This window comes from Homo sapiens, chromosome 1 (assembly GCF_000001405.40).
Source record: "Homo sapiens chromosome 1, GRCh38.p14 Primary Assembly".
Taxonomy (NCBI): domain Eukaryota; kingdom Metazoa; phylum Chordata; class Mammalia; order Primates; family Hominidae; genus Homo; species Homo sapiens.
Window position 1 is genome coordinate 233,284,479 of NC_000001.11, and position 27,579 is coordinate 233,312,057.

Sequence of the window (27,579 nt, forward strand, 5' to 3'; positions counted from 1 at the left end):
CTGGGAAGCCTTCCCTAAGTACTAATGCCAAGATTCCATCTCCCATCTTTACTGTACAGCACCTGCACTTCCCCTATGGTAACAATGATCACTGTGTTATTCATGCCTGTTTATCTGTTAACTGCATGGGAGAAGACATCAATCCATCTTGTTCTCCTGCTGCCTCCACAATATCCAGCAGAACATCTGGCACTCAGTCTGTTGTCATAGACATAAGTGCTCTCCAACAAACATGTCCAGTTAGTCTCTCAGGCACAGGGTAGAATTGCACTATCCTTCCCCTTTGAAGTGAGGTGTGCTCATGCAACATTCCCTGACAAAGCAGTCTGAAGGCAAGAAGTATTTGCCATTTCCAAGCAGGAGCCTCCAGAGCCACAGCATGACACCCACTCAGTGTCCCTCAACCATAGTGACTGGTATGATCATCCAGGGTCATGGGGGGGATGATAGCAAGTAATGCTCCCAGTCAACCCAAAATGAAGACTCAAACAGTCCGTGTTCCTAACTACCTATAATGAGCAGGACCCCCTGCTAACCATACCCCTGACATCCCAATGGACCATGTTGGACATGTAGTATAAATAAAAAATAGGGCCGGGTGCAGTGGTTCACGCCTGTAATCCCAACACTTCGGGAGGCCAAAGTGAGAGGATTGCTTGAGGCCAGGAGTTTGACACCAGCCTGGGTAGCAGAGCAAGACCCCGTCTCTACAAAAAATAAGAAATTAGCCAGATGTGGTGGTGCATGCCTGAAGTCCCAGCTACTCAGGAGGCTGAGGTGGGAGGATCATATGAGCCCAAGTGTTTGAGGTTGCAGTGAGTTACAATTACGCCACTGTTCTCCAGCCTGAGTGACAATGAACCCTATCTCTAAAAAGAAATAATAATAAAATTAAAAATTAAAAATAAACTTGGTGGCCAGGCTCAGTGGCTCACACCTGTTATCCCAGCACTTTGGGAGGCTGAGGTGGGCAGATCACAAGGTCAGGAGTTCGAGACCAGCCTGGCCAATATGGTGAAACCCTGTCTCTACTAAAAATACAAAAAATTAGCCGGGCGTGGTGGTGCATGCCTGTAATCCCAGCTACTCTGGAGGCTGAGGTAGGAGAATTGCTTGAACCTGCGAGGCAGAGGTTGCAGCGACCTGAGATCGTGCCACTGCACTCCAGCCTGGGCAACAGAGAGAGACTCCATCTCAAAAAAACAAACAAACAAACAAACAAAAAACTTGGTAAAGCCAAACACATGTTTAGGTTGGTTATTACTTCAGCATAAGCTAGCACATCTTGACTGATCCATATACAACTAATGGCATTAGGTTAAAAATCATCTGAAAACCTAAATATTCTTCAATAGTGACTAGTCAAATAAGTTGCCCTTTATAGAAATATTGGAATACCATGCAGACATGAATAATGAGGAGGCTCTTTGTGTCATGATCTCCAAGATGTTCCATCAAGAGGGACAACAGGGCTATGTATGCATAAATGATTACACATTTGTATAACATTTTTAATGAAAGTGTTGACCAAGGAACCAAGGTAGGATGGATAAGAGATTCCAATGCAAATTTCTGGGACAAAAAAACATTTCTAGATAGATTATGAGGATGAGTTACATGATCCTAAATTCCTTACTCAAAATGATGTAATAGAATTTAGAAAAAAAGGGTATATGAAGATTTTTGGAAAGGCCTGCTGGTGTGCAGCTAGTCCTGTGTCCCATCCTCTTCCTCAGTCAGAAGAGAAGCGCTTCAGTGGGACCACTTAGAAACTTATAAGTCCCCTACCATTTGGGTGGGGGTAGAAGGCACCTAATATGAGTCCCCTACCATTTGGGTGGGGGTAGAAGGCACCTAATATGAGCCCCCTACCATTTGGGTTGGGGTAGAAGGCACAGTGGACTGCTGTCTGATTCCCTCCTAGAAAAGGTGAAAGATCAGAGACTGGCTGGCTAGCTGCTTTGATGGAGGTATGAGCTTGGCCTGCCCTCCTAGAGTGTGGTGGGGAAAGGAATATGTGGACGTTGACATGGACTATGTACGCGAGAATCTGTATAGATCTGCTTTAGATCATGTCTGAATGGGCTACGGAGCAGAGGAGACTGGCACAGAAGAAAGCTGGAGGTGGACAGAGTATGCAACCAGACAGGGCAAAGACACAGCAGCCCTCATCAAGACAAGCGCCAGAGAGACAAGGCTGGCAAGGAGAACAGAGTCTCTGAGGGTGTGGAAAGGCAGCTCTCCAGAGAATCAACTAGGAACACGTGCCATGCTCTGAAAGCCCAAGGCCCCCTTACCACCGTGACAGTCAACAAAGAATCTTCCTGCTCTCCAAAGCCAAGGACATCAGAAACATCAGTCAACGCATGAGGGAGGAAGAGAGCAAGAAAGACTGTGCCATCCTCATGTCCCTTCCTACCTGGAAATGACTGGATGATGGTAGCTTTGATTATGCCAAGGAACTGCACATTCTGCGATCTAAATCAAGTCTGTATTTTGTTGCTAAAAGCCATCATAAAATTTGTATAAGCTGTGATGTGAAGTCATGGGCGTTACCCATATTTTTATCTGGGATATGGGAAGAAAACTCCTGTCCAAGGCAAATTGAAAGGAACAGTGGAAGACAAATAAAGTTGCTTTATGATTACACTCAGGACCCCTTACATTCAAACTTCCACTCACATGTGTATAAAATACCACTGCAAGAAAACACAAGAGGCTGTGTATAGTGGTTCCATCTCAAGTGGGAAACTAGAAATAAGTGTGAGAGGGAAGTTATATTTTTATTATATGTCCTTTTGTACATTTTTAGTGTTTGTATGTCTTCATGCCAATGTGCAAGGAATATATACCCATTGGTATGGTTTGGCTGTGTCCCCACCCAAATCTCATCTTAAACTGCAGCTCCCATAATTCCCACAGCTCATGGCAGGGACCCAATGGGAGGTAATTGAGCCATGAGGCAGGTCTTTCCTATTCTGTTCTCATGATAGTGTATAAGTCTCATGAGATCTGGTGGTTTTATAAAGGGGAGCTCTCCTGCACAAGCTCTCTTGTCTACCACCATGTAAGACGTGACTTTGCTCCTCATTTGCCTTGTGCCATGACTGTGAGGCCTCCCTAGCCATGTGAAACTGTGAGACCATTAAACCTCTTTCCTTTATAAACTACCCAGTCTTGGGTATTTCTTCACAGCAGTATGAAAATGGACTAATATGCCCACATTGTAAAATGACCTGTTAGAAGTGATATGGCTGAGCAGGTAAGAACTCCAATGCTTGGGCTTTAATCCTAGTCAGGCCATGACTAGCCATGTATTCATAAGCATGTTAACCTACCTCTCTTTGCTAGTTTCATTGACTGTAAAATGGGAATAATGATGGTGCCTCACTGGGGCACTATGAAGGTGAGATGATTTCTTTCTTGCAAAGCTCTTACAAAAAAAAAGTGTCTGCCTCATATGTGCTCAGAAGCGTTGGCTGTGATTCTTACCTATTCCAATAATAGTAACATAATACAATTGTAAATGCTAAAGGAAGAAAATGCACTAGACAAAAAATGTGGAAAAATCTGAATACCATTAAAAGTGAGTCCATTTTCTTCTTGCAGAGGACATAGGAAGGAGATTTAGAGAAGACGATATAGCAATAAGATATTTAATGTTTAAAATTTACCATTTAGGAGACCAAATGATTAAAGCCAGAAAATAACAATCACCTAGTAAGTATTAGCTTCTACACAAAAGAAGTAACACCAAGTGAATTAGATTGTTCAATTAAAACAAAAATAATAGGGTATTAAAGTATTAGACATTACCCTTGGGAAAAATACCATGTATCTGAGGAGTGAACCATTCAAAATACAGCCAATCACTAATGGGGGGAAATCTCAAGAAGCCCTGAGAAAGCTGGGAGTGGGGCAGGAGACATAAGTTTAACTACTAGAAAATTTGTCATGAACTTGTAATACCAGAATGGAAAGAAAAAACAAACACAGAAACACAACCTGAGGACATAAATCCTGCCCACCGACATGCATGTATCTAATGGCAGAAGACAAGGATAAATGGGAGGAGCTGTGCAGAAAGAGAGCAACTGACTCAAGAAAATAATTATCAATTTGAAAAGACTGTTGCCCCAGCAACAAATGAAGGTACTCCAGGAAAGCAGAGCCCTCCACACAGGCAAGCCCTCTGCACATGCCGTCCACAGAGCCATCCGGAGAAGCAAAAATTGAGAGACAACTGCATGGGATGGCATTCAGCCCAAATCTGGAGGGACTGAGTCTGTAGTTCTTTTGGAGGCCCAGGACCCAGGAAAGATGCCCTTTTTTTTTTTTTTTTTTTTTTACTGTGAATATATATTTTTTATTTAGTCATTTTTGTTTACAATTGAAACTCTGGGAATTCAAAATTAACATCCTTGCCCATGAGCTTCTTATAGACACCAGAAAAAGTTTCAACCTTGTGTTCCACATTGTTCTGCTGTGCTTTGTCCAAATGAACCTTCATGAGCCGGCTGCCATCTAGTTTCACGCGGATTCTCTTGCCCACAATTTTGCTTGTGAAGACCAAGTCCTCAAGGATGGCATCGTGCACAGCTGTCAGAGTATGGCTCCTGGGATGCTTTTGCTTATATTTTGTACAGCTTTTCCAAGTTGGCTTAGGCAGGATTCTCCTTTAAGCGATAAAGACAACATGCTTCCCACTGAACTTTTTCTCCAATTCACATACTAGCCGGACTTGGATTTTCTGGAAAGATTTCAGTTGAGGAACGGGAACAAAGATTATGATAGCTTTCTGACCACCACCAACCTCAATTTCCTTGGCTGCCATAATATTCAGCTCCCTGAGCTGAGCCTTGAGGTCCAAGTTCATCTCCAGCTCCAGAAGAGCCTGGGAGATGCGGGACTCGAACTCGTCCGGCTTCTCGCCATTAGGCTTCACGATCTTGGCGCTCGTACTGAACATGGCCTTCTCCTGGGAGAACTTGCCGAGCGCCGGCTTAGGAAGAGCAGAAGGATGCCTTTTAAGCAACTCCATGCTGCAGGCTCTTCGCCTGAAATACAACTCTGCTTCAGGCAGGTGAGGGCAGGAGGCAGGAAGCCAGACATTCAGGTAAATTATGGAGATAGTGCAAAGGATCAGGCATCTCAATGCAAGAATAAATAAGGCCCCCAGAAGTGGAAGGACCAAATATCAAGGTTCTGGGAGTCAAAGGAAAGAAAGCATGGACTATGTGATCCATTAACAGAGAAAGCCTTTCTTTTGAGGAAACTGGATAACAATGCTAGGACTGACTAGAACAGAGGTAACCTTTTGAGAATGGCAACGTGCCAAGCAGTTCAAGAGAATAACAACAATCATGTGGAATGGGCCAAGCCTGCTATGCGAGGCTGCGCAGGTTGCATGCTGCACAAAGGTCTCCTGCTGACAGGATTAAATGGGCCAGGAAAGGCTGCCTCTTTGGAGAGGCTACCTTTCCATAATTTACACTAAGTCATCTTATATGTTAAAAGTAGGAGAGGAAGTCTAGGTGAAGCCTGGGGGGCGGGGGGAAAGAAGTAAAGGAGGAAGGAAGGGTGGTCAAAGAAATGCAAAACCTTAAATTCTACTCTCAAACCTGAATATCCAATTGGACCTTCATTTCTTAGGCCTCAGGAAGGGGGTTGGGGTATTAGGGGGTTAGGGGTATGAAGGAGTAGAATAATCCAAGATGCCTAGAGCATGGGGCCCACAACCAGAGCTCCATGGCAACTTTCTTCAAAATGTATATTTAAATTTCTATCAAACTGTAATTTATTATGCAAGGTGAAATATGTAGGAAGAAACAGACCGATGTGTGCAGTTTACTTTGAAATGCATCAAGAAAATAAAGTAGAATAAGGGATCGCTAGAAGGATGGACAAATGGATAGAAAGGTGATAAAGCAAGTAGAGTAAAATGTTCATGGGGTAAACTCAAAGTGCTATGTATATAGCTGCACACAGTAAAATTATTTCAGCTTTGTTGTATGTTTTAAACTTTTTATAGTAAAATCTTGGGAAAACATTGATTGAAAAAAGAGGAATCGAGATCTAAGAAAAAATAATGACACACCAGAATGGGAAACGGCTGCAGACTGTCATAGAAATGTCACCAATTAGCTGTAATAACAATTAGAATGTGTTGGGTGCTTACTATTTGCCTAGTGCTATGCTAGTGCTTGACAGATAATCCTATTAATTATAATTATAGCAATTAGAAATGATGTAGGTCTTATCAAAGAAGGTCTCTAAGATTAAATTTTAAAAAGCAGAACTGGAAACAGAACAAGTCTGGCTAAAGTTAAAGGAAAGGAAACAGAAAGCTCCAGCCATAGAACGAAAGACAGGCTTTCTGTCCACAAGCGGGGAAAGGGCTGCCCATACAAACATATATGCCAGGCCTGGAAAATTAAGTCTAATGTTGCCCGGCATGGGGTCTTGAAGGATGTGAAAGTTCCAACCCATTCTTCCCACCACTCAACTCTTCCTCTCCAGTGGAGTTGACCACAATGCCACTGGCATAATCATAATTCCACTGCAGGTGGCTCCACGGTTTCACAGCCTTCAAAGTGCTCTTATATGTAGTATGTCAGGCAGCATAATGTCCTGGAAGGGCCAAAGACTCGGATGCTACAGGACCTCAGCTAAATGCTGGATTTTACCACTGACTATAGATGACTGTGGGCAAATAGCTGACTCTCCCTGGACCTCAGTTGCTAAACCTATAAAATGAAAGTGTTATCCCCATTTTACAGATGATTAAACTGAGGTCTGGAGAAGTAAGGTGACTTGCATAAGGCCACACAATTGATAAGAGGAAGAACGAGCCAGGCATGGTGGCTCACGCCTGTAATCCCAGCACTTTGAGAGGCCAAGGCGGGCGGATCACCTGATGTCGGGAGTTCAAGACCAGCTTGACCAACATGGAGAAACCCCACCTCTACTAAAAATACAAAATTAGCCAGGGTGGTGGCGCATGCCTGTACTCCCAGCTACTCGGGAGGCTGAGGCAGGAGAATCGCTTGAACCCGGGAGGTGGAGGTTGCGGTGAGCCGAGATTGCGCCATTGCACTCCAGCCTGGGCAACAACAGCGAAACTCTGTCTCAAAAAAAAAAAAAAAAAAAAGAGGAAGAATGGGAACTGTGTCTTTTGACATGAGGCTAGTGCTCTCAGGACTTACACAGGCCAGAATCATGCCCATATGCCCCTGCTGTAAAGAACACTCTGCTCTGAATCTCCATTAATTATCATCTCAAAAGAATAAAGACAAAACACATGTAATAAGTGACAATTTAAATATCTCTCAAGACTAACCATCTTTCAGTTTGTCCAAAAGAAAAGGAGGTTGGGAACTGTGTATTTGACATGAGGCTAGTGCTCTCAGAACTTACACAAGGCCAGAATCATGCCCATATGCCCCTGCTGTAAAGAAAACTGCTCTGAATACTCTTTCCAAGTTATCCAAATTGACTTACTGTTTTCAGTTGTACATTTCCAAACATTTCTCACAAATATATACATAGTTTATAAATGCTAATTAATCACTATTTTCCACATTATCACCCAGATCTAAGTACATTCTAGGGATTATAAATAAATTTGCCTCAATAATTAATAATAAAAATATTTAAAATACTCAAAGTATCTGTTATATTAAAAAGTGGATCCTTTCAATAGTGAAACTTTCTTTCTTTCTTTCTTTTTTTTTTTTTTTTTTTTTTGAGATGGAGTTTTGCTCTGTCACCCAGCCTGGAGTGCAGTGGCGTGATCTTGGCTCACTGCAACCTCTGCCTCCAGGATTCAAGCGATTCTCCTGTCTCAGCCTTCATGAGTCACTGGGATTGCAGGCATGCACCACCACGCCCAGCTAATTTTTTGTCTTTTTAGTAAAGACAGGATTTCACTATGTTAGCCAAGCTGGTCTTGTGCTCCTAATCTCAAGGGATCCACCCAACTTGGCCTCCCAAAGTGCTGGGATTACAGGCATGAGCCACCACACCCAACCAAAACTTTCTTAAACATGTTTAAACTAAAATTGTAAACAAAAAGAAAACAGAAAAGTTCACAGAACTTTGACTAAGCCCCTGCTGTCAGTAAGCAGTCAGGTATCTTCTTGGAACAAATGATTGTAAATGAACAAATTGAAAAAGACATTAACAATCACAGGCAACACTGAAGTGCAGAGGAATATATTTAAGCACGAAGATCTGAAGAACAAAGCCTCCATTTGGGGAAGAGGGCCTTTTATTTCAAGGGCACTTTCAGAAACCAGAAGACCAAAGCAAGAAAAAAATAACCTGTCATGTTTTTAATAACGCAGGCTATATATTAAAAAGTAGCATAACAGTAACTGTACCCACATACAATTATTCTATAATAGTTAAAGGCATGCTGGCATAGAGATATAACAATTTGGGCATATCTGTTTTTTTTTAAAGTCTGATATAAAAGCAAAATTATTTAAGGTCTCAGACTTTACTTTCTAAAATTTTGAGATTTAGCTGAAAATTACATTTAAATATCATCAAAAAGCAAATTAATGAAGGACAATTTCCTACTCACAAACACAAGATCTAAATCAAGCTACTCAATAAAGCATAGTTAGGTAGAAATTAAGGGTTCTGACCATACGTAGACATCAAATCTTAAGTAGAGTTTTATAAAAATGAGCCCATATGCATAGGAAAAAACATCTGCAGGAACACAACATTAAATGCGAATGTGGTGGTTTCTGAGGAGTGGAATTATAGGTGGAAAATATATTGCTTTTATTCTTAGGAAATATTCAAAAAGTATAGTGAGGTAGACTATTTAATGCTAGTTGGAAAAGAAAGAGACACACAAGTTAATTATATATGAGATCAGTGTTACCAAATGCAGAGCACTCTGCTATGTACAAGGAAAAACCAAGATGAATAAACAACATAAAAATCCATGCCCTCAAAAAAGCTTATGATCTAGACATAGAAGTGAAATACATGTTCCAACAACTAAGTACCAGACAGAATTCGAAAAGTACTATTAATGCTAATAGTCTAACTACAGAATGCTGTAAAACTAATAGTAAATACAGAATGGTATAAGGGCAAGGGAGAAGAGAAATTAATTCTAGCTAAATCAGAAAACATAAGGATGGAGAGATTTTAGAAGATGGGGAAGGATTAAAAAGGGCTATCTCTTACTGAGCACTCTCTGTGTGACAGGTACTAAGAAGTACTTTCATCTATTAATTCACTCAGTTCTCATATTCACCCTATAAGGGAGGTACTGTAATTATCCCTGCTTTACAAACAAGGAAGGTGAAGCTTGCTCAAGCTCATATTAGGTCTAGTGAGCAGCAGAACCAGGATTTCACCCTGGTGAGGGCTGTGCTCCTCATGACTTTGCTATGCTGTCCCTCTAGGAAAAGAGAAACCACTGGGGCCCATAGGCTAAGGAAAAATGGGTTAAGAAAAATGGTGCGGAGAATCAGAAAGAAGAAATAAACTTGCATTTATTGCAGGGTTTCCAAGCAGTTTCTGTATTTAATGCTTTTTATATATAATTTTGGTTAATTTTTCTGTGAAGTGGTGATTGTGATGATCACATCCGTTTTAATGATATGAATGCTAAGTTTTAGAAAAGTTCAGTATCAGACCAAACAGCTAATAAGTAGCAGAACAGAATTGTAAACCCAAGGCCTGAGTCCAATCTCAGGTCAAGACAGACCTGTGGCTTTATATGTACTATCTCATTTAATCCCTAAAACAATCTGTAAATCTGGTACTATTACTTTTTCTCATTTTACAGATAAGAAAATGAAAAATGAGATATGGTAAATAACCTCCCCAAGGTCACAGAACTGGTAACCAGTAGACCCAAAATTTAACCTAGGCATCATGACTTCACACCCAGAGTTCTGACCCTTTGGATACACTGCCGGAAAAAGAGTAAAGAGAAACCCAATCACAAATGTCAAACTCGGAATCCATCAGTCATGCAAACTCATTGACGATTTTTGCTGTAAAAAAAATGATCAAATAATGTGTTAGGAATAAAGTCCTCCAACCGACATACCAAAATTAGATTCTTGGCACGTAAAGTTTAATAAGACATGGAACACCTTACCTGTACAGCTTTTCAAAGCAGGTAAACCATTGTTTTAATTACGTATAATTTACCTAAGAAGGCCATCTATGTAGTTCTTCAGCAAGCACTCACTTACCATAACCCCACTAAAATGTCAAGCCCCATCTAAATGTTGTAATACTTTGTTTAGCATAAAGTACATTAGATTTATCCATTATTATATCTTCCTACAGATTTCTATACATAGTGGTGTAGAAATTACAATGTGAGTAACTGATAACTGAACTGCCTTCTCAAAGCAAAACAAGAAAGAAGGTGAGGGGGGAAAAAGGGGACAATAACTGAAATGAGTCTGCTTTTTACATTTCGTTTTTCCTCTTGGCTACAATCTACAGCATTTCACACCAAACATTATCCCAAGCTACCCAGCTCTAAGGCCTAGAGTTACCCACCTACAAAACAGGCTGCACGCTCCCTGCCACAAGCAGAGTGACTCATCCTAACATCCGGCATCAATTCTTAATGAGTCCCCGAGCCCCCGCAGTCCTGTCTACTTCTTTTCTTTTCCAGTGAATCCTCACAGTCCCCTTTCCCTGCATGTTCTCTGTCCCAAATTTCTGAAGCCCCTCCCTTTCCGTCTCTTAAGAATCTCTACGAACCCGAAAGCCCGTGAGGCTGATGGCACGTCTGTGGTTCCTTTCTCCTTCTTCCCTCCATACCCACAGCTCCCCGGGACCGGACCCTCCCCACTCACCAGGTGCAGGGCCAGGGGCAGCAGCAGGAGGAACAGCCACAGGTAGAGGTGGCAGCTGTTGGTGAACTTGCTCTGCTCCGGGTCGTGGTACCAGCCCCCGGTGAGCGCGGCCCACACGCCCTGCCGGAGCAGCTGCAGCACCTGGGACACCATGCCGGCTGCGCCCCGGGGCTGGTGAGCGCCCCGCTGCACCCTGCGCGCCCCGGCCGGATCTCCAGGCTCCCTCAGGTCTAACACCCGGGCCCGCGGGCCGCGCCCCCGCCGTCGCCGCCGCCGTCGCCCCCGCCGCCTCCTTCCACCCCACGTTTGAAGCTGGAGCTGCTCTTCCGCCCGGACCCGCGAACCGCGGCGCCGGAGCCGGCTGCTGCGGCCGGGCAGGTGAGCGCCATGTCCGAGGGAGGAAGGATTTTCCCATCGTGCTCAGAGGCGGCTGCTCAGAGGTTGCTTCCGAGGCTCCTCCCAACGCCCGCCCAGTCCCTCCTTAGCCTTCGCTGGGGGCCAGAAGGATTTCTGTGAGTGCCTCCAGCCTTTTCTTTCTCTCTTTCTCTTTTTCTCTCTTTCTTTCTCTCTCTCTTTTTCCTTCCTCCTCCCTCCCTCTCTCTCTCTTTCTTCCTTCCTTCCTTCCTTTCTCTCTCTCTCTCTCTTTCTTTCTCGCTCTTTTTTTCTTTCTTTCTTTCTTTTTTTTTTTTGCCTCTCCCCTCTTCCCTTCCCCTTCTCTCTGATCCTCCTGTTAGGGGACGTGCAAGGGTGTTCTCATGCAGAAGGCACAGACCCAGGACACGTTCCTTGTCCTTGTCCTTTTTTGCACCCAAGTATTTACCTCATACAAGGTCCTGTCACACAGCACTCAAAGTAATTTCTTCTCCTGAGCACTTCCTGCACGACTTCATTCTCCTTAATTAAGGGCTGACCCCAGACGTTCTATTAATCTAAGCTCTACCTGGTCCTCTGCCACTGATCTTCTGTCCTCCCTGACTGTTTCTCCTCCACTCCCTGTTGTCCAACTTGGTGGAGAAAGAAGATAACCACCTTCCTGATAAAATTTTAGGAGCTTCAGTTAGCCTTAGTTTTTTATCTCTTTCCTAGAACATAATCCCAGGTATTTAACTGGCTATATAGAACATTAGTCTAAATCTCTCTATGCTGTTTAGACAGGAAGACCCACTGGACAAAAAATTAATAATCTTTAAGCTATTATATATTTTATCATTTACAGTGGATACAGTTTAGATTCTCTTTTGAGAGTGGGTTTTGGAAAGGGAAGAGATAAAAAGGAGCTTGTCTTCCTTTGGGATGAGGAGCAGAAGCCCTGTGTGAGCTAGAGCCTTAGGGAGAGACAAAGATTAGAGGGCTCCATGATTCCCAACACGCCTTCCCTGCATCATCCTTACCTGGTCTGTCCCAACACATCACACTCCTCTGACTTGTGTGCCTGCCTGTGTCCTGGCCATGTTCTGGTCTGCAGCAGCACTTACTTATGGCTGCCCTAGTCAGGCCCAGTAAAGGCACACCAGCCTTCCCAGGCTGAAACGAAGATAAGGACAGGCCCATCATGAGGAGAGGGCCCAGGACATGAAAGGCCACTGAGTTACAGCAAAAGCCTCACTATGGTGTGTCTGCCATCAGCTATAACCACTCTTCCTTCTACTTTACATTCATCAGTAGGAATGAATCATCAAAATGGAATATGGCTGCTTTCTGTACTGGAAGAGTAATTTTCTTAAAGACACAGCTTGTAAACAAATGGGCTTTTTTGTATATCTGCTCAAAATGCTTGTAACCTACCAGGTGCTGTATAAGTGTTTAATGGGTTAATCAACCAATCAACTCCACATTAAAGGAGCGCCGTCACGTGCATGGGTATAGGAGGAAAGGTCATGCAACAGTCTGTTCCCACATGGAGGTTGTGTCCTTGTTCACTTGTCCTGATTCATCAAATATTTACTCAACACCTTCTGGGTGTCAAGCATTTTGCAGAAGACTAAGAAAGCAAATGTAAGTCAAATATAGTCCCTACCATGAAGGAGTTAATAAACCACAAGAGGAGGCAGGAAAATCAAAGACTTGCAATAAAATGTGCTGCCTGTTATCATATTGTAGAAATGGACACATATCCAGATATATGGAAGCACTGGGGCACTGTGGAGTGCAGAAGACATGTGTAAGTCTGTGAGGGAGGGGTGGTGTCAATAAGCACCAGGGAACTGGGTCTTAAAGCTAAATATTAGCTCTCAAGGCATGTAAGTGGGAATAGTTCTCCAGGCACATGTATATGTGGAAAGAGGAGCATGGCAATTTGGGGAAAATGTCAGGATAGTCTAACATGTCTGGAAGGTAGGGCTGGGAATGGGAGAAACGGAACAGTAGGAAACTTAATGAGATAAGCAAAGGTCAGTCTCCTGGGCCATACAAAGTTCTTCAGATCTTATCCTAGGCAATGGACAAGAACTGGAAGGCTGAAGCATGCATGTGACATGATCGATAGTACAGGGGCAAATGCTGAACACCTGAACCAGCAGGAAGGGACAAAATGTTGAGGGATCATATATGATCTTAAGGCTTAGAGATCAATTCAATGTGGAGATAAAGGGATAAGGAATGTAATGATTTTCCATTTTGGGTTGAGATGACTATACTGTAAAACTAATCCATTTATAAGATATAGGAAGATTAGCAGTGAAAGATGACTACACTGAATTTGAGTTGCTGAGGGACTTTGCAAGCCATCAGGGAGAGAATGTTTCTGAAGCTTAGGGGAGGTTTCTGAAATAGGATTTATACTTGAGAGAGATCAGCAGATAGTCCCATAAAACGGGATGATAATGTCCCAGAAAAAAATGAAGCCAAGAGGGCTGTGAATTACAAGGATTAAACACACAAGCAGGACAAAAGAGGGAGGAAAGGAGGAAAATAAGGTGAATCTGAAATTAGCAAATAAATGGGGAAAGAACAATTCAAGAAGGACGTGATTAATAGTGTCAAGTGCCATAGAAGAGGCCAAGTACAAAGGTTGTTATTAGGACACAGCCATTAGGAGTGACCTAATGTGACATAGCCTCAGCCATTTTGAGGATTAAAGATGATAAAGTGGGCAGGTGCCTAATTGTGTTGTATTACAAAAGATTGAATGTGTAGTGAATGCAAAAGTAGAGGGAGGCAAAGTCAGCTGCTCCTTAGAGGAGCCTGGCCATGGAGGTGAGCGTGATCTAAATGCAGGTGCAATGGTCAAGAAAGTGTTTGTTTTGACTGATTGGCTTTTAATATTAAAACCTAAGTATGCTGGCCAGTCATGGTGGTTCACGCCTGTAATCCCAGCACTTTGGGAGGCCGAGGCGGGTGGATCACCTGAGGTCAGGAGTTCGAGACCAGCCTGGCCAACATGATGAAACCCCATCTCTACTAAAAATACAAAAATGAGCCGGGTGTGGTGGTGTGCACCTGTAGTCCCAGCTACTAGGGAGGCTGAGAATCGCTTGAACCTGGGAGGCAGAGGTTGCAGTGAGCCAGGATCATGCCACTGCACTCCAGCCTGGGTGACAGAGCGAGACTGCATCTCAAAAACAAACAAACAAACAAACAAACAAAAAACTAAGTATGCTTCTTCTTGACTACTTGTTTCCTGGCATCATTATAGCTTTCACTGTAATGCATATGTTGGAGACTCTAAAGTCTTTATCTTCAGCCCTAACTTTTTCCTGAATTTCGATTTAAATCCAGTTGGGTGCCCTTCTGCCCATAGGCCCTCAGCATGTTCAAATGTGAACTCTCTGTCTTCTCTCTTACTGCAATTCCTTCCATTGTGCCTTTTGTATTTTGATCTCAGCCGATGAAACCACAATCCACCCAGTCACTTAGAACCAGGAGGAAACCTAAATTCCTCCTCCTCTCATCCTCCTCTCTCTCACTACCATATCCAGTCAGTGACCATGTCTTATCGATTTTATTTCCAAATGATAATTAACTACATATGTTTGCTCTATCCCTGTTGCCATGACTTCAAGTCATCCTCAGAATTTCTCTCGAACTATCAAAGTGGCTTCCTAACTAATTTTTGTATCTCCAACTAAACCTTCTATATCAATGAAGGGAAGAAAGGAGCAACTCTAGCTTTCAAAGCATACATAAGTTTACACAGGAAATGAGAAAGCTGAAAAAGCAAACAAGGGATCAGACAAAGCAGAATATGCACCTACCACTCCTAGGACTGGAAGAACAGTGGGAACAAGTAGTATTGTTAGAAGCCACAAGCCAGAGGTTGGCGGCAAGAGATAGATCCATGGCAGGGCAGTCTGGAAAGAGCTGAAGCCTTGAGGACCTGCAGCGGCCACAGGTGGTACGACAGAAAGGGAATGGGTTTGAGTCGGGAATATGCAGAAGGGAGGAGCAAACATGAATACTCTGGTTTCTTCTCTTTTCCAGTCAGTTACCTGTCTCTTCCATTGGCTAAACCCGCCTGGAAGTTATAGTACAGGGAAGCCTGGAAAATGTAGTTACCTATAATACAGATCACAGCATGTGAAAGGGAGGCCAGAGTGCTCTATATAAAATAAAAATCCAACCTGATTATTCCTTCTTAGATTCTTTCCATCACATTCAGAAAACAACAACAACAACAGTCCAAGTGCCCTCTACAGCCCTGCCCTCACCTAATCCCTTTAAACTCATCTCTGAACTCATCTCTGAAAACCCAAAGTGCTTGTACTTCTTTGCATACTGCATGTTTCTTCATGAGTCTACACCTTGGCTGATGCTATTCCCTCAGCATGTCAACATATCTACACACATGCACATAATCTGGTGGGATTTGGAGTGGGATTGTATTGACTTTACCAATAAATTTTGAGAGAACTGACATCTTTTCAATATTGAGCCTTTCCATAATGAACAAGATACATCCTTCCTTTATTAAGATTGCTCAATAACGTTTCATAGTGTTCTATGTAGAATTTTTGCACATCATTTTCTGGCACCCAGTGTTAGCCATGATTGAATTAGCTAGGGATGAGAGAAACAATGTAAAAGTTGAAATATTATGCAATTGAGAATAATTGGGATGGAAATGTTGAAATGATATGGGAACTAGAACAGTACTGCTTCGTGTTCAGAGACATATCCAGGCTTCCCTTGATAGGAGTTGCTTGCTAAGCAAAGTGTGTTTACTCTAGCAGCCCCTAGGGTGGGCATTCTGCCTGGGGAGAGAAGGGCAATGACTCAGCTGTGTTCAAGACACCACAACATAAACAGTGGGGTTGGAGTAGAGTAAGGTAGCTTTGCAGAGCAGTACAATCCCCTAATGTGCTTGATTTCCCAAGGTCTCCTTCAGTACATCCCCCTGTCAATTACAACTCCAAGTAAACACAGATCTCCTTATGATCGTACTAGCAGAGGATTGAGATATGGCTATGCCAAAGAGCAGACCCTCATGAGCATGTGAAGCAGTCTAGAGCCCTGGACAAGGAGTAGCTGACTAAAGTATCCACCCCAGCCTCTGTCTTGGTGTGCCCTGCCCACTGAGACTAGTGAAGAGGTGATCTTGCACCATGTAGCTCAAGAGAAAGCCCTCATCTGCCAGTTTGCTTTTAGTCCATGGGCCCCCATGAACAGCTGGACTGCAAGCCATTCTTGCTCACTAACTTTATTGTGGATGAAAGGCTCTTTTGTAACCCCCTAGAGGGCTCTGAGTATAAGCAAGTAGGAGAAGTCATACCTGCTAGAGAAGTGAAAGAGAGATTTATAAAATGTCTCACAGAGGTAATACTAGCTGCTAATCCTCATATATGTAGACTCTTATTTATAAACATTATACAAGCAACATATCAAAAATTGAAAAATGTTGAAATAACTAAAAGTTCAAAGCTAAGTACTCTAAAAGAATGGCTCCCACTAAAATAGAAAACATAAAGAAAACAAGAAAGGTCCTTTAAAATTATAATTGATATTCTTCAAGAGATTTGAGGGAAGAATTCATTGAGTAAAATAGCAGGCCAGTATTACAGAGAAGCAATTGGAAAGTAAAAGAGAATGTTGACCATTAACAGAGCTTGTGACTATCATATGCAAATGCTTTCTGAAAATAAAGGGAAAATGCTTGCCAACTCACTATATAAGGCAAGTATTTCCCTGATACCAAAGCAGATAAAGACATGACAGGAAACGAAAACTTGACCATGTATTATCCTGCCTTAACAAAAGCAAAAATCCTTAAAAACATATTAGCAATCTGAGTCCAGCAACATATAAAAAGGATTACATACTATGACCAAGTAGAATTCATCCCAGGAATTCAAGGTTGGCTTAACATCCAAAAATCAATTATATATTTGAGGGTAGCCCTAATCTGTGTGATGGAGGGCACCACAGATAGCTGCTACACTCTTGTACACCCTTTCTCAGAGATACTGGAAAATATGCTTCATTAAAAGGAAAGAATATACTAAGAAAGATAAAGTCACAGGACCAAGGGAACAAGCTTTTTTTTTTTTTTTTTCCAGAGTCTTGCTCTGCCGCCCAAGCCAGAATGCAGTGGTGCAATCTCAGCTCACTGCAATCTCTGTCTCCTGGGTTCAAGTGATTCTCATGCCTCAGCCTCCTGAGTAGCTGGGATTACAGGCATGCACCACCACCCCCGGCTAATTTTTATATATTTTTTTCTGGTAGAGATGAGGTTTCCATGTTGGCCAGGCTGGTCTCAAACTCCTGACCTCGGGTAATGCCCCCGCCTTGGCCTCCCAAAGTGTTGGGATTATAGTGAACCACTGCGCCCAGCCAAGAACAAGCAATTGAAAAGAGAGAAAGAAAATTAAAAAACAATCTCCAGGACAACAGTTCACAAAACAGCAGGCCTAGAGAATAACCAAATCAGATGAAGCATTGAGATAAATTTTGAATGTAATATCTTTAATAATTTTAGATCTAATTGATTTTTTTACTTCTTTTATCTTTTTGGTAAATATATTTTTTTCTAGGAATTTGTTCATTTGACTTTATTGGTATAAAGTTTGTCATACTATCCTCTTGTGATTTAATAAAAATGTCTATGCATTTTTATGCACAGTGGTCTGTGCCTTTTCATTCTTAAAATCAGTTATTTGTGCCATCTCATTCTTTCATGATTATTCATTAGGAATTTCTCATTTTATTTAGTCTTCTCAAAGAAAAAATTTCAGCTTTTTCATCTTCTTTATCAAATGATTTTTTTTAATTTTGTCAATTTATGTTCTTTATGTTTCTCTTGTACTGTGTCTCAGCCTTATTTGTTTTACTTTTTCTATCTTCTTGAGATGTATGCTTCACCTGCATTTTTTTGCTTCTCCTTCCATCATATATATATATATACAGTTAAATCTATACATTTTCCTCTAAGTATGACATTAGTTGCATTCTCAAAATTTCAATATATTTTACTACATTCAATTCAGAATATTTTCTAATTTCCATTAGGATTCCTTTGACCTATAGATTATTTCGAAGTATATTGCTTCTAAGTATGTATAGACATATATGAGCACTTCCTAATAATCTATATCCTCATTTAATTCCAGAGAACATACTCTTAATAACTGTCAGACTTGATTTATGGCAAAGAATATGATTAGTTTTGTAAATGTGTGTGTCAGCTTAAAAAGAATGATTTTTCTGCACTCTAAAAGTGCAGTATTCTGTAAATGTCCCCTAGTTAAATCTGCTAATCATTTGCTCAAATATTTTTCATCCTTACAGACTTTTTGTCTGCCTTTCTATCAGTTAATGACAGAGGTGTCATTCTTTTTAAGATTTGTCAAATACAAATGCACACACACACACACACAATGGACCATATTCTTTAACATAAATCAAGCCTCAATAAATTTCAAATAATTAAAATTATTTAGAGTTCAGAGGACTTTCTACAGAACTAAGTGAGAAATCAAAGATCATTATAAAATCATATATAGTCCCAGCACTTTGGGAGGCCGAGGCAGGCAGATTGTTTGAGCTCAGGAGTTTGAGACTAGCCTGGGCAACATGGAGAAATCCTGTCTTTACAAAAAAATACAAAAATTTGCTGGGTGTGGTGGTGTGTGCCTGTAGTCCCAGCTGCCTGGTGGGCTGAGGAAGGAAGATCCTTTGAGCAGGAGAGGTTAAGGCTTCAGTGAGCCATGTTCACACCACTGTACTCCAGCTTGGGCGAAAAAGTGGGACCCTGTCTCAAAAAATCATATATGTACATATATATCTATAAAGCCATTTATACATATTATATACACACTATGTTAAATTAAGTTTTTATATCTTTCTGAAGAAATGAACCTTTTATAATCATGCAGAATATCTCCAGGAATTTTTTTTTATTATACTTTAAGTTTTAGGGTACGTGTGCACAACGTGCAGGTTAGTTACATATGTATACGTGTGCCATGTTGGTGTGCTGCACTCCAGGAATTTTTAAAATTTAAATTCTATTCTATCTGATATTAATGCAGTCACCTCAGGGTTCTTCTGGTTAGTGTTTATATGGTTATATATTTTTGTATCATTTTACTTTTAACTTTTCTGTGTCTTTATGTTCTGTCTTCATGTTTGTTTCTTATAAGCAGCATATAGTTGGGATACAGTTTTTATTTGATCTGATAATCTTTGACTTTAATTAGAATATTTAGTCTGTTACATTTAATGCAGTTGTAATAGTACTGGATTTAATCATATCACGATTTTGAGTTTGTCTTTTTTCCACTTTGCTTTCTCTTGGCTTCTTTGGAATGATCTATTTTTTATTATTCAATTTTACTAGCTTAAAAGTCATAAACTCTTAAAACTTTTTTAAAGGGGTCAGAAATATAAAGTGATGCATTTCCAATAGAGGTGGAATTATACAGTGGACAGGATGGTGTCAGCACATGGGGGACACATATGAAGAAGTGGCACAGAGGAGCATGAGCATGGGGTAGTATTATTTTGTGTAGCAGTTAGAGGTAAAGCAAAGATTATTTATAATGATATGAGGATCTCACAGAACACAACTGAAAGAATGTGGAGGGGGCAGAGAAAAGGTAGGCTAATCCTCATTCAGTTAGCACAAAGAAGGGAAATACAGACGACAAAAAGACTATGTTAATGAGGAAATGCCTAATAGGTAGAATACTAAACCTTTACTCCAAGATAATTTGATATTTTCCCAAATGTGTTTACCCAAGAGTAAGCATAAAAAATAAATTACATCTTTTGGCTCTTTTAAGCACATATTATAATTCAGACAGTGAAATGTGAAATAGAAAATGCCAGTTATTATGAGATGAATAAAGGGAGGGAAAGGAAGGAAGGATGGGCAGAGGAGAAAGGGAGAAAAAGAAAAAGCAGAGTGGCTTTTACTCATTTGTAGCACTAGGTGGCACCAGAACACTGCTTAGAATGTAGTAAAATAAAATACGTTATTGGTATTGCAAAGCAAGGAAGGATTTTAACAGGGCAAATTCAATATTGCAGAAAGCTTGTTCCCCCAAATGACAGGTCTGCTTTTCACCTAATTACATTTTGTGAAGATCACCTTCATATCTTGTATGGTCAGTGTATATTGTATGTGTGTTTTGCATGTGACTATTATCATTTATTTTTAGGTTATTTTTCCTTAATCTTCTACACAAATTAGTGTTCCTGAATAACAGAATAGAAATAATGGAATATAAGGAATATTATGAGTTATAATTGAAGAACTTCTTCAGAAACAAAAGAGGACTTTAACTTACCTAAACATTCAATGGATATATCATTCCCCATCCCCAAAATGACAAAAACAATGATAATAATAACATGAAGAAAGGTTCTAGGGCAACTGACTTCTGTGTAGTAGAACAAGTTTCTTTATGGTATAAAAATATTTTGTATATAGCTCCTTTATTCTCATATTTGTTTTAAAAGACAAATCGTAAAGCAAGAATTACAAAACTATGTTGAAGGACTTATAATGTATAAAGATACAATTTGTATAAAAAAAAGCACAAAGGAAATGAGATAAAATGGAGTTATATTGTTAGTTTTTATATAATATTGAAATGAAGCTAATATTAATCTGAATTAGATTGTTTTAAGATGCTAATTGTAATCTCTAGGGCAATCACTAAAATATTAAATTTCATTTTATTTTTCTTTTATTTATTCTTTTGTGACAGGGTCTCACTCCATCACCCAGGCTGGAGTGAAGTGGTGCAATTATGGCTCGTGCAGCCTCAACCTCCCAGGCTATAGTGATCCTCCCCCACTCAACCTCCCAAATAGCTGAGACTACAGGCGTGTGCTCCCACGCCCAGCTAATTTTTATAATTTTTATATTTTTTGTAGAGACAAGATCTCACTAGGTTGCCCAGACTGGTTTCAATCCCCTGGGCTCAAACCATCCACCAATCTTGGCCTCACAAAGTACTGGGATTACAGGCATGAGCCATTATGCCCAGCCTAGAAACTAAATTTTAAAATACAGTAAAGGAAACACAAGAATGAACTAGAAAATATCCACTTAACAATAGAGGAGGCAGTAATGGAGGAAGAGAAAAACAAAAACACACATGACATATAAAAACAAGTATCCAAATGGCAGATGTAAGTTCACCTTATCAGCAATTACACTAAATGAAAATGGGTTAAACACTAAAATCAAAAGGCAAAGTTTGCCAGGATGAATTTAAAAACATGATCAAATGCTAGAAAAGACACACTTTAGATTCAAGGATATAAACAGGTGGAAAGTAAAAGGGTAGAAGAAGCAAACCAAGAGAGTTAGAGTGTTTTGTGGGCAGCTATTATTATTTATTTGTACTAATATCAGACAAAATAGACTTTGATACAACAGTTTTTACTAAGAAAAAGAAAAGCGTTTTATAATGATTAAAGGGTCAGTTCATTAAGAAGATAAAATAGTTATAAACCTATATGCACCCAACAACAGAACCTCAAAACGTAAATAACAAAAGCTGACAGAATTAAAGGGATAAGTTAATAATTCAACAACAATAGTTAGAGACTTTAATATCCTGACTTTCAATAATGGATCAAACAACTAGGCAGAAGATTAACAAGGAAAGAGAAGTCTTGGGCAACAACATGTAGATATCCAGTACTGGTAGCATGAAGCCCCATCTAAAATTTGGTTTGGATGTCAACACTAGTGACATCACACAAACAACACAAGGTTCTGAAAAAGCTTATTACTTAATCAATCTATCTGGGGAAAGCAGGGCACATCTTTAAGCAAGTCTGAAAAGGCTCGAAAGAGGACAAATATTTTTATTGGATTGGGAAATATACATGTTAAATGGCTGAATTGTATGGCATGTGAATTATACATCAATAAAGCTGTATTCAAAAAAACAAATAAACCAAAATATGTGCTTGAAGGTATCTGACCACCTTCACATGATTGTGAAGAATTATTCATTTTAGATTTTGAGATTTGATTTTCCCTTGGTGTGTTTATCAATTCTGAAGGGGCAATTTATTCTGAGAATGTTGTGATTAGGAAGGACACTCAGAGGGCTTCTGAATGAAAACATTCTGTATGTTTACCTGGCTCATGATTACAAGAGTATTTGTTTTATAAAAATTTATTAAGCTGTGTATATATGTTTCATGCATTTTTCTCTACAAGTACTCTACCTTAAAATAAAATAGTGATTTTTAAAAAGATATATATTATGGTAAAGTTATCAAAATTTGAAGATAAAGAATCTGTTGGGTAATCCAATAAAAAATAGATAAAGAAATAAAGTTACATATAAAAGGAAAGTGTTAGCTTGACCTCAGAATTTTCTTCAGAATTATATAATGTGAGAAGTTGATGAAATTATGGTTACAAAATCCTCTGTGAAAGATCAATGTACATATTTGCTACTTAATATACTTTGGATATTTATTCCTTCCAAATCTCATGTTGAAATCTGATCCCCAACGGTGGAGGTGGGTGTGGTGGGAGGTCTTTAGGTCCTGAAGGCAGATCCCTCATGAATGGCTTGGTGCCATTCTCAGAGAGAGTGAGTTCTCACTCTTAGTTCCTGGGAGAATTGATTGTTGAAAATAACCTGGCACCTCCCTCCTCTCTCTCTTGCTCTCTCACGCCATGTGACACACCAGCTCCCATTTGCTTTCTGTCATGAGTGGAAGCAGCCTGAAGCCCTCCCCAGAAGCTGATGCTAGCTCCATGCCCCTTGTACAGCCAGCAGAACTGTGAGCCAGATAAACCACTTTTCTTTATAAATTACCCAGCCTCAGGTATTCCTTTACAGCAACACAAAAAGACTAAGGCACTGTTATGGTGGATCTAAAAATTTTGTAAGAGACAGTGGTAGCTTCCATTGAATAATCTCTCTGTGTCTGGTACTATTATTAGCATTCCACATCTATTCACTCTTTGAGTCCACAAAACCACTTTTTGAGGAAGGTGCTATAATCATTCCCGTTTTACAAGCAAGAAAACAAGCACAGAGAGGTTAAGTAAATTGTCTGTGTGCTAAGGGATTGTGGCCAGTTTCAAACCTCAGCAGAATGAGTTCAGAGCCCACGCTCCAGAGCTGCATCTGAACCACTGCATTACCTCCAAGCAAAACAGTCACTTAAGCATGAAGGCCACATAACATGTGAGAACTCAGAAGACAACATTCACGTGAGTCTTCTTGGAACAGGTCACCAAAGGATGAACTTCTGTTAACCAAGTTATGAATTGAGAAACTGACAAAAAGCCAGATGTGAGAATTGAGTCCATATAGTATAAAGACTAAAACAAAGTTATGGCTTATGATTATAGAACAAAACACAAATGATACCAAATCCATACATGAAGAAATGATATAACTAACTAAAGTTATCAAAAGACATAGGAGAAGAAGCTGGGCGTAGTGGCTCACGCCTGTAATCCCAGCACTTTGGGAGGCCGAGACGGGCAGATCATTTGAGGTCAGGAGTTTGAAACCAGCCTGGCCAACATGACAAAATCCCGTCTCTTCTAAAAATACAAAAAAATTAGCCAGGCATGGTGGTGGATGCCTGCAATCCCAGCTACTTGGAAGGCTGAGTCAGGAGAATTGCTTGAATCCAGGAGGCGGAGGTTGCAGTGAGCCGAGATCGTGCCACTGCACTCCAGCCTGGGCGACAGAGCAAGACTCTGTTTAAAAAAACAAAAAAAAGAAAGAAAAAGAAAAAGAAAAAGAAATAGGAGAAGAGAAAAGGTAAGAAGCCCCAAAATATTTAATTCTGACACACCAAATAATAGATGTATAAAGATATTTAGTGGTATAAGAGTAAATCTTAAGAAACATAAACTTATCAGATAAAGCTGGGTGGTAGAGAAGAAAAAGAAGTGAAACTAAACTATTTTTAATCCTGTTTATAGTAAGAAATCAATAGAGAACATCTAAAAAGATTAAATTAACATGTTAAATTTAAAAAGATAACTCTAAAGCCAAAAACTATAATCCTTCCAAATTTTCAGAAGCTGCATAAAACAAAATAATAAAAAAACACAAACTACATAGTGAAAGATATTTTTTAAAGTAAAAGAAACAAATGAAGCACAAAATGTGATATAAAATGACACAAAATATGTTGGTAATATCTATAAGTGTAAATGGCTTTAACTTACTTATTAAAGGACAAAAAGAATACAAATGAGTCTTAGAGAAAATCCAAGCATTGGTTATTTATAGGAGATACACCTATGAAAGAGTGTCTCAGAAAAATTGAAAGTAATAAAAAGAGGCAAAAGTTCCTCAGACAAACAGGAAAAAATGTTGGGTGGGTGTGTGATAAGGGAAGCTCAAAATCTTGTTATTAAATAAAATTAATGAAATAAAATTATTAAATGAGATAATCTTCATAAGGAAAGAAATTCACAATACAAAATTTGAAGTTATGAATGTCCATGATCAAAAGAAAAGAGCACCAACATTTATCAGTTAAAATATTTGGAATATGGCCGGGCGCGGTGGCTCATGCCTATAATCCCATGGCTTTGGGAGGCCAAGGTAGGTGGATCATTTGAGGTCAGGAGTTCAAGACCAGCCTGATCAACATGATGAAACCCCACTTCTACTAAAATACAAAAATCAGCTGGGCGTGGTGGCGGCCTCCTGTAATCTCAGCTACTCTGGAGGCTGAGGCAGGAGAATCCCTTCAACCCAGGAGGTGGAGGATGCAGTGAGCCAAGATCATGCCACTATACTCCAGCCTGGGCAACAGAGTGAGACTCCCTCAAAAAAATAATAATAATAATAATAATAAAATTAAAAAATATATACAAAACTTAATTTAGCCAGGCACAGTGGCTCATGCCTGTAATCCTGGCACTTTGGGAGGCTGAGGAGGGCGGATCCCCTGAGGTCAGGAATTCAAGACCAGCCTGGCCAACATGATGAAACCCCGTTTCTACTAAAAATACAGAAATTAGACAGGCATGGTGGTGGGCGCCTGTAGTCCCAGCTACTCAGGCGGCTGAGGTGTGAGAATTGCTTGGGTCTGGGAGGCGGTTGTTGCAGTGAGCTGATTTTGCACCACTGTACTCCAGCCTAGGCGACAGAGTGAGACTCCATCTCAAAATTAAAAAAGAAATAAAAATAATAAAAATTTTTGGAATAAATAAGAAACAACCAAAAGAAGGATTCAATTCTCCTTTTTCTGCCCATTACACATCAAATAAATAATAAAGTTATTAATAATTCCTAAATAACATAATTGATATGTGTATGTCAACTATGAACTCCACTTATATACAATGTACCATCATTTCAAACATTCTCAGAGCACTCACAGAATCTGAGTCTATATTCATGAAAGAAAATCTCAATGAACTCACAAGAGGAAAACCAATATAAATAGTATTTTCTGATCATAGTTTAATAAAATTAGAGGCTAATAGCCAACTAGGAAATAAACCAATATCTATCATCTAGAATTTTAAAAAATTTTTGCTCAAAACCTGTTGGTTCAAAAAATAAGTAAAGATCAAAATAATGAAATATCTGATGTATCTTATGGAAAACTGATAGTATATCAGTACCAATAGGATCCAAAAAGGGAAAAAATACTAGTGCTCAAAGGAAAATATACAGACCCAAATAATTATGCTATCAAAAATATGTAGAGGAGACCCCTGGTTGTCTACCAGAAACCACTGTCCCCTTCTTGAAGAATAATGCGGACCACATTTCCCAGAACATCTTTTGGGGAGTTGCGGCTATGCAACTGAGTTCTGGAACAGTAGTAGGAGAGATGTGTGTATCCTGTCAGGCCCAGCACATTCAGCTTCCTGGATGTTCTTCCAGGTCCTTCTGCTGGCTGGGTGCTCATGACAGTAAAGTTGCTGTGAGGTGTCTCTGTCCCTGTGTATTGCTGTAAAGGAATACCTGAGGCTGGGTCATTTATAAAGAAAAGAGGTTTATTTGGCTCACGATTCTGCAGGCTGAACAAGAAGCATGGTGTCAGTATTTGCTTCTGGTGAGGGCCTCAGGCTGCTTCCACTCATAGTGGAAGGCAAAGGGGAGCTGGTGTGTGCAGGTCACATGGCAGGAGAGAAGGCAAAAGAGAGAGGAGGGAGATCCTCAGCTCTTTCTAACAATCAGCTCTCTCATTACCACAAGGAGTGTACCAGGCTGTTCACCAGGGATCTGCCCTTATGACCCAAATACCTCTGACATTGGGATCCACTTTCAAAATGAGACTTGGTGAAGCCAAAACACATATCCAAACCATAGCAGGAAGCCGCAAGTTATGCTCAGCCTGGGTCTCTGACTATGAGGAGAACATCCACATGGCTGAACTGAGTTCCTGCCCAAGTGTTCTAATAAGCAAGATAACATTTTTTTATTGTGTTAAGCAACTAAATTGTAGGGATTTCTTTGTTACCATAGTATTACCTACCATAACTAACCCAGAAGCTATTACCTGGAAATAGTGTACTAATATAATAAAACCTAAAAGAGCCAACATTGCCTGAGCAGTTGTTGAACAACTAAGGAACAAGGAGTCATGGCAGCCTGCCTGGAAAGATGGAGACCCAAGTTATGAGGTGATCAAAGACTTTGCAAAACTCACCTTCGGGAATTTGGAGGACCTACCAACAACTACCAAGCCCATGGCTCCAGAGCGGGGAGAAATGTTTGTTTATATGTGTTGCCAGTTCTTGGCTCCATTTTGCAAATTATAATAAGAAGAAAGAATTAAAGTTTCAAAGCAGAACACCAAAGCTTTGAATAACTTCAGTATGGAAAAACTGAGTAATACACACAAATATCCGCTTCTTTCATGGAAATAAATTACAATAGAAATAAATGAATTTTTACTGCATTAAGTCACCAAAATTTGGGGGATCCATTTGTTACTGCAGCTTAGCCTATCCTAATTAATACAAGAAACAATAAAAATAAACATATTAGACATTGAAATCAAGAATTAAGAAAAATAATAACAAAAAACCCAGGGAAGACAGATGGAATGTATTGATAACTATAATTGCAGTAGAAAATACAAAAACAAATAGAACTTAAAAATAATTACAGCCGGGTGTAGTGGCTCACACCTGTAATCCCAGCATTTTGGGAGGCTGAGGCGGGCAGATCACCTGAGGCCTGAGGTCAGGAGTTCGAGACCAGCCTAGGCAAGATGGTGAAACCCAGTCTCTACTAAATGTACAAAAATTAGCCAGGTGTGGTGGCAGGCGCCTATAGTCCCAGCTACTTGAGAGGCTGAGGCAGGGAGATTTGCTTGAACCCGGGAG

The 27,579-nt window shown here is 40.2% G+C and overlaps 1 protein-coding gene and 1 pseudogene across 6 annotated transcripts in view, besides 4 other annotated features; both read right to left on the reverse strand.

Annotated features, from left to right (window-relative positions):
• The window catches only part of PCNX2 (pecanex 2), a 343,895-nt gene that overhangs the window by 301,044 nt on the left and 15,272 nt on the right, over nucleotides 1-27,579 (reverse strand). For 4 of the 6 annotated variants that reach the window (XR_001737430.2, NM_014801.4, XM_047430872.1 and 1 more), the window contains exon 1: nucleotides 10,848-11,247. The exons of 1 other annotated variant lie outside the window; for it this stretch is intronic. Coding sequence is in view for 4 of the 5 variants with exons in the window: in NM_014801.4 (NP_055616.3) it covers nucleotides 10,848-11,000 (153 nt within the window). In the remaining variant the exon portion in view is untranslated. Of the gene's footprint in view, nucleotides 1-9,500; nucleotides 10,026-10,847; nucleotides 11,248-27,579 lie in introns of those variants that run through there. One more of the 6 variants, NM_001328607.3, reaches the window with a different exon arrangement.
• Nucleotides 1,559-2,060: an enhancer, noted in NCBI's record as "H3K27ac hESC enhancer chr1:233421783-233422284 (GRCh37/hg19 assembly coordinates)". NCBI's record gives its function as "activates a minimal SCP1, AML or CMV promoter by ChIP-STARR-seq in naive H9 embryonic stem cells {active_cell/tissue: H9 hESC(naive)}" and the evidence as "EXISTENCE:reporter gene assay evidence [ECO:0000049][PMID:30033119]".
• Nucleotides 2,061-2,560: an enhancer, noted in NCBI's record as "H3K27ac hESC enhancer chr1:233422285-233422784 (GRCh37/hg19 assembly coordinates)". NCBI's record gives its function as "activates a minimal SCP1, AML or CMV promoter by ChIP-STARR-seq in naive H9 embryonic stem cells {active_cell/tissue: H9 hESC(naive)}" and the evidence as "EXISTENCE:reporter gene assay evidence [ECO:0000049][PMID:30033119]".
• On the reverse strand, nucleotides 4,348-5,013 carry RPS7P3 (ribosomal protein S7 pseudogene 3; annotated as a pseudogene).
• Nucleotides 10,633-10,682: an enhancer, noted in NCBI's record as "active region_2741". NCBI's record gives its function as "activates an Ori minimal core promoter by ATAC-STARR-seq in GM12878 lymphoblastoid cells {active_cell/tissue: GM12878}" and the evidence as "EXISTENCE:reporter gene assay evidence [ECO:0000049][PMID:35858748]".
• Nucleotides 10,963-11,342: a silencer, noted in NCBI's record as "silent region_1959". NCBI's record gives its function as "represses an Ori minimal core promoter by ATAC-STARR-seq in GM12878 lymphoblastoid cells {active_cell/tissue: GM12878}" and the evidence as "EXISTENCE:reporter gene assay evidence [ECO:0000049][PMID:35858748]".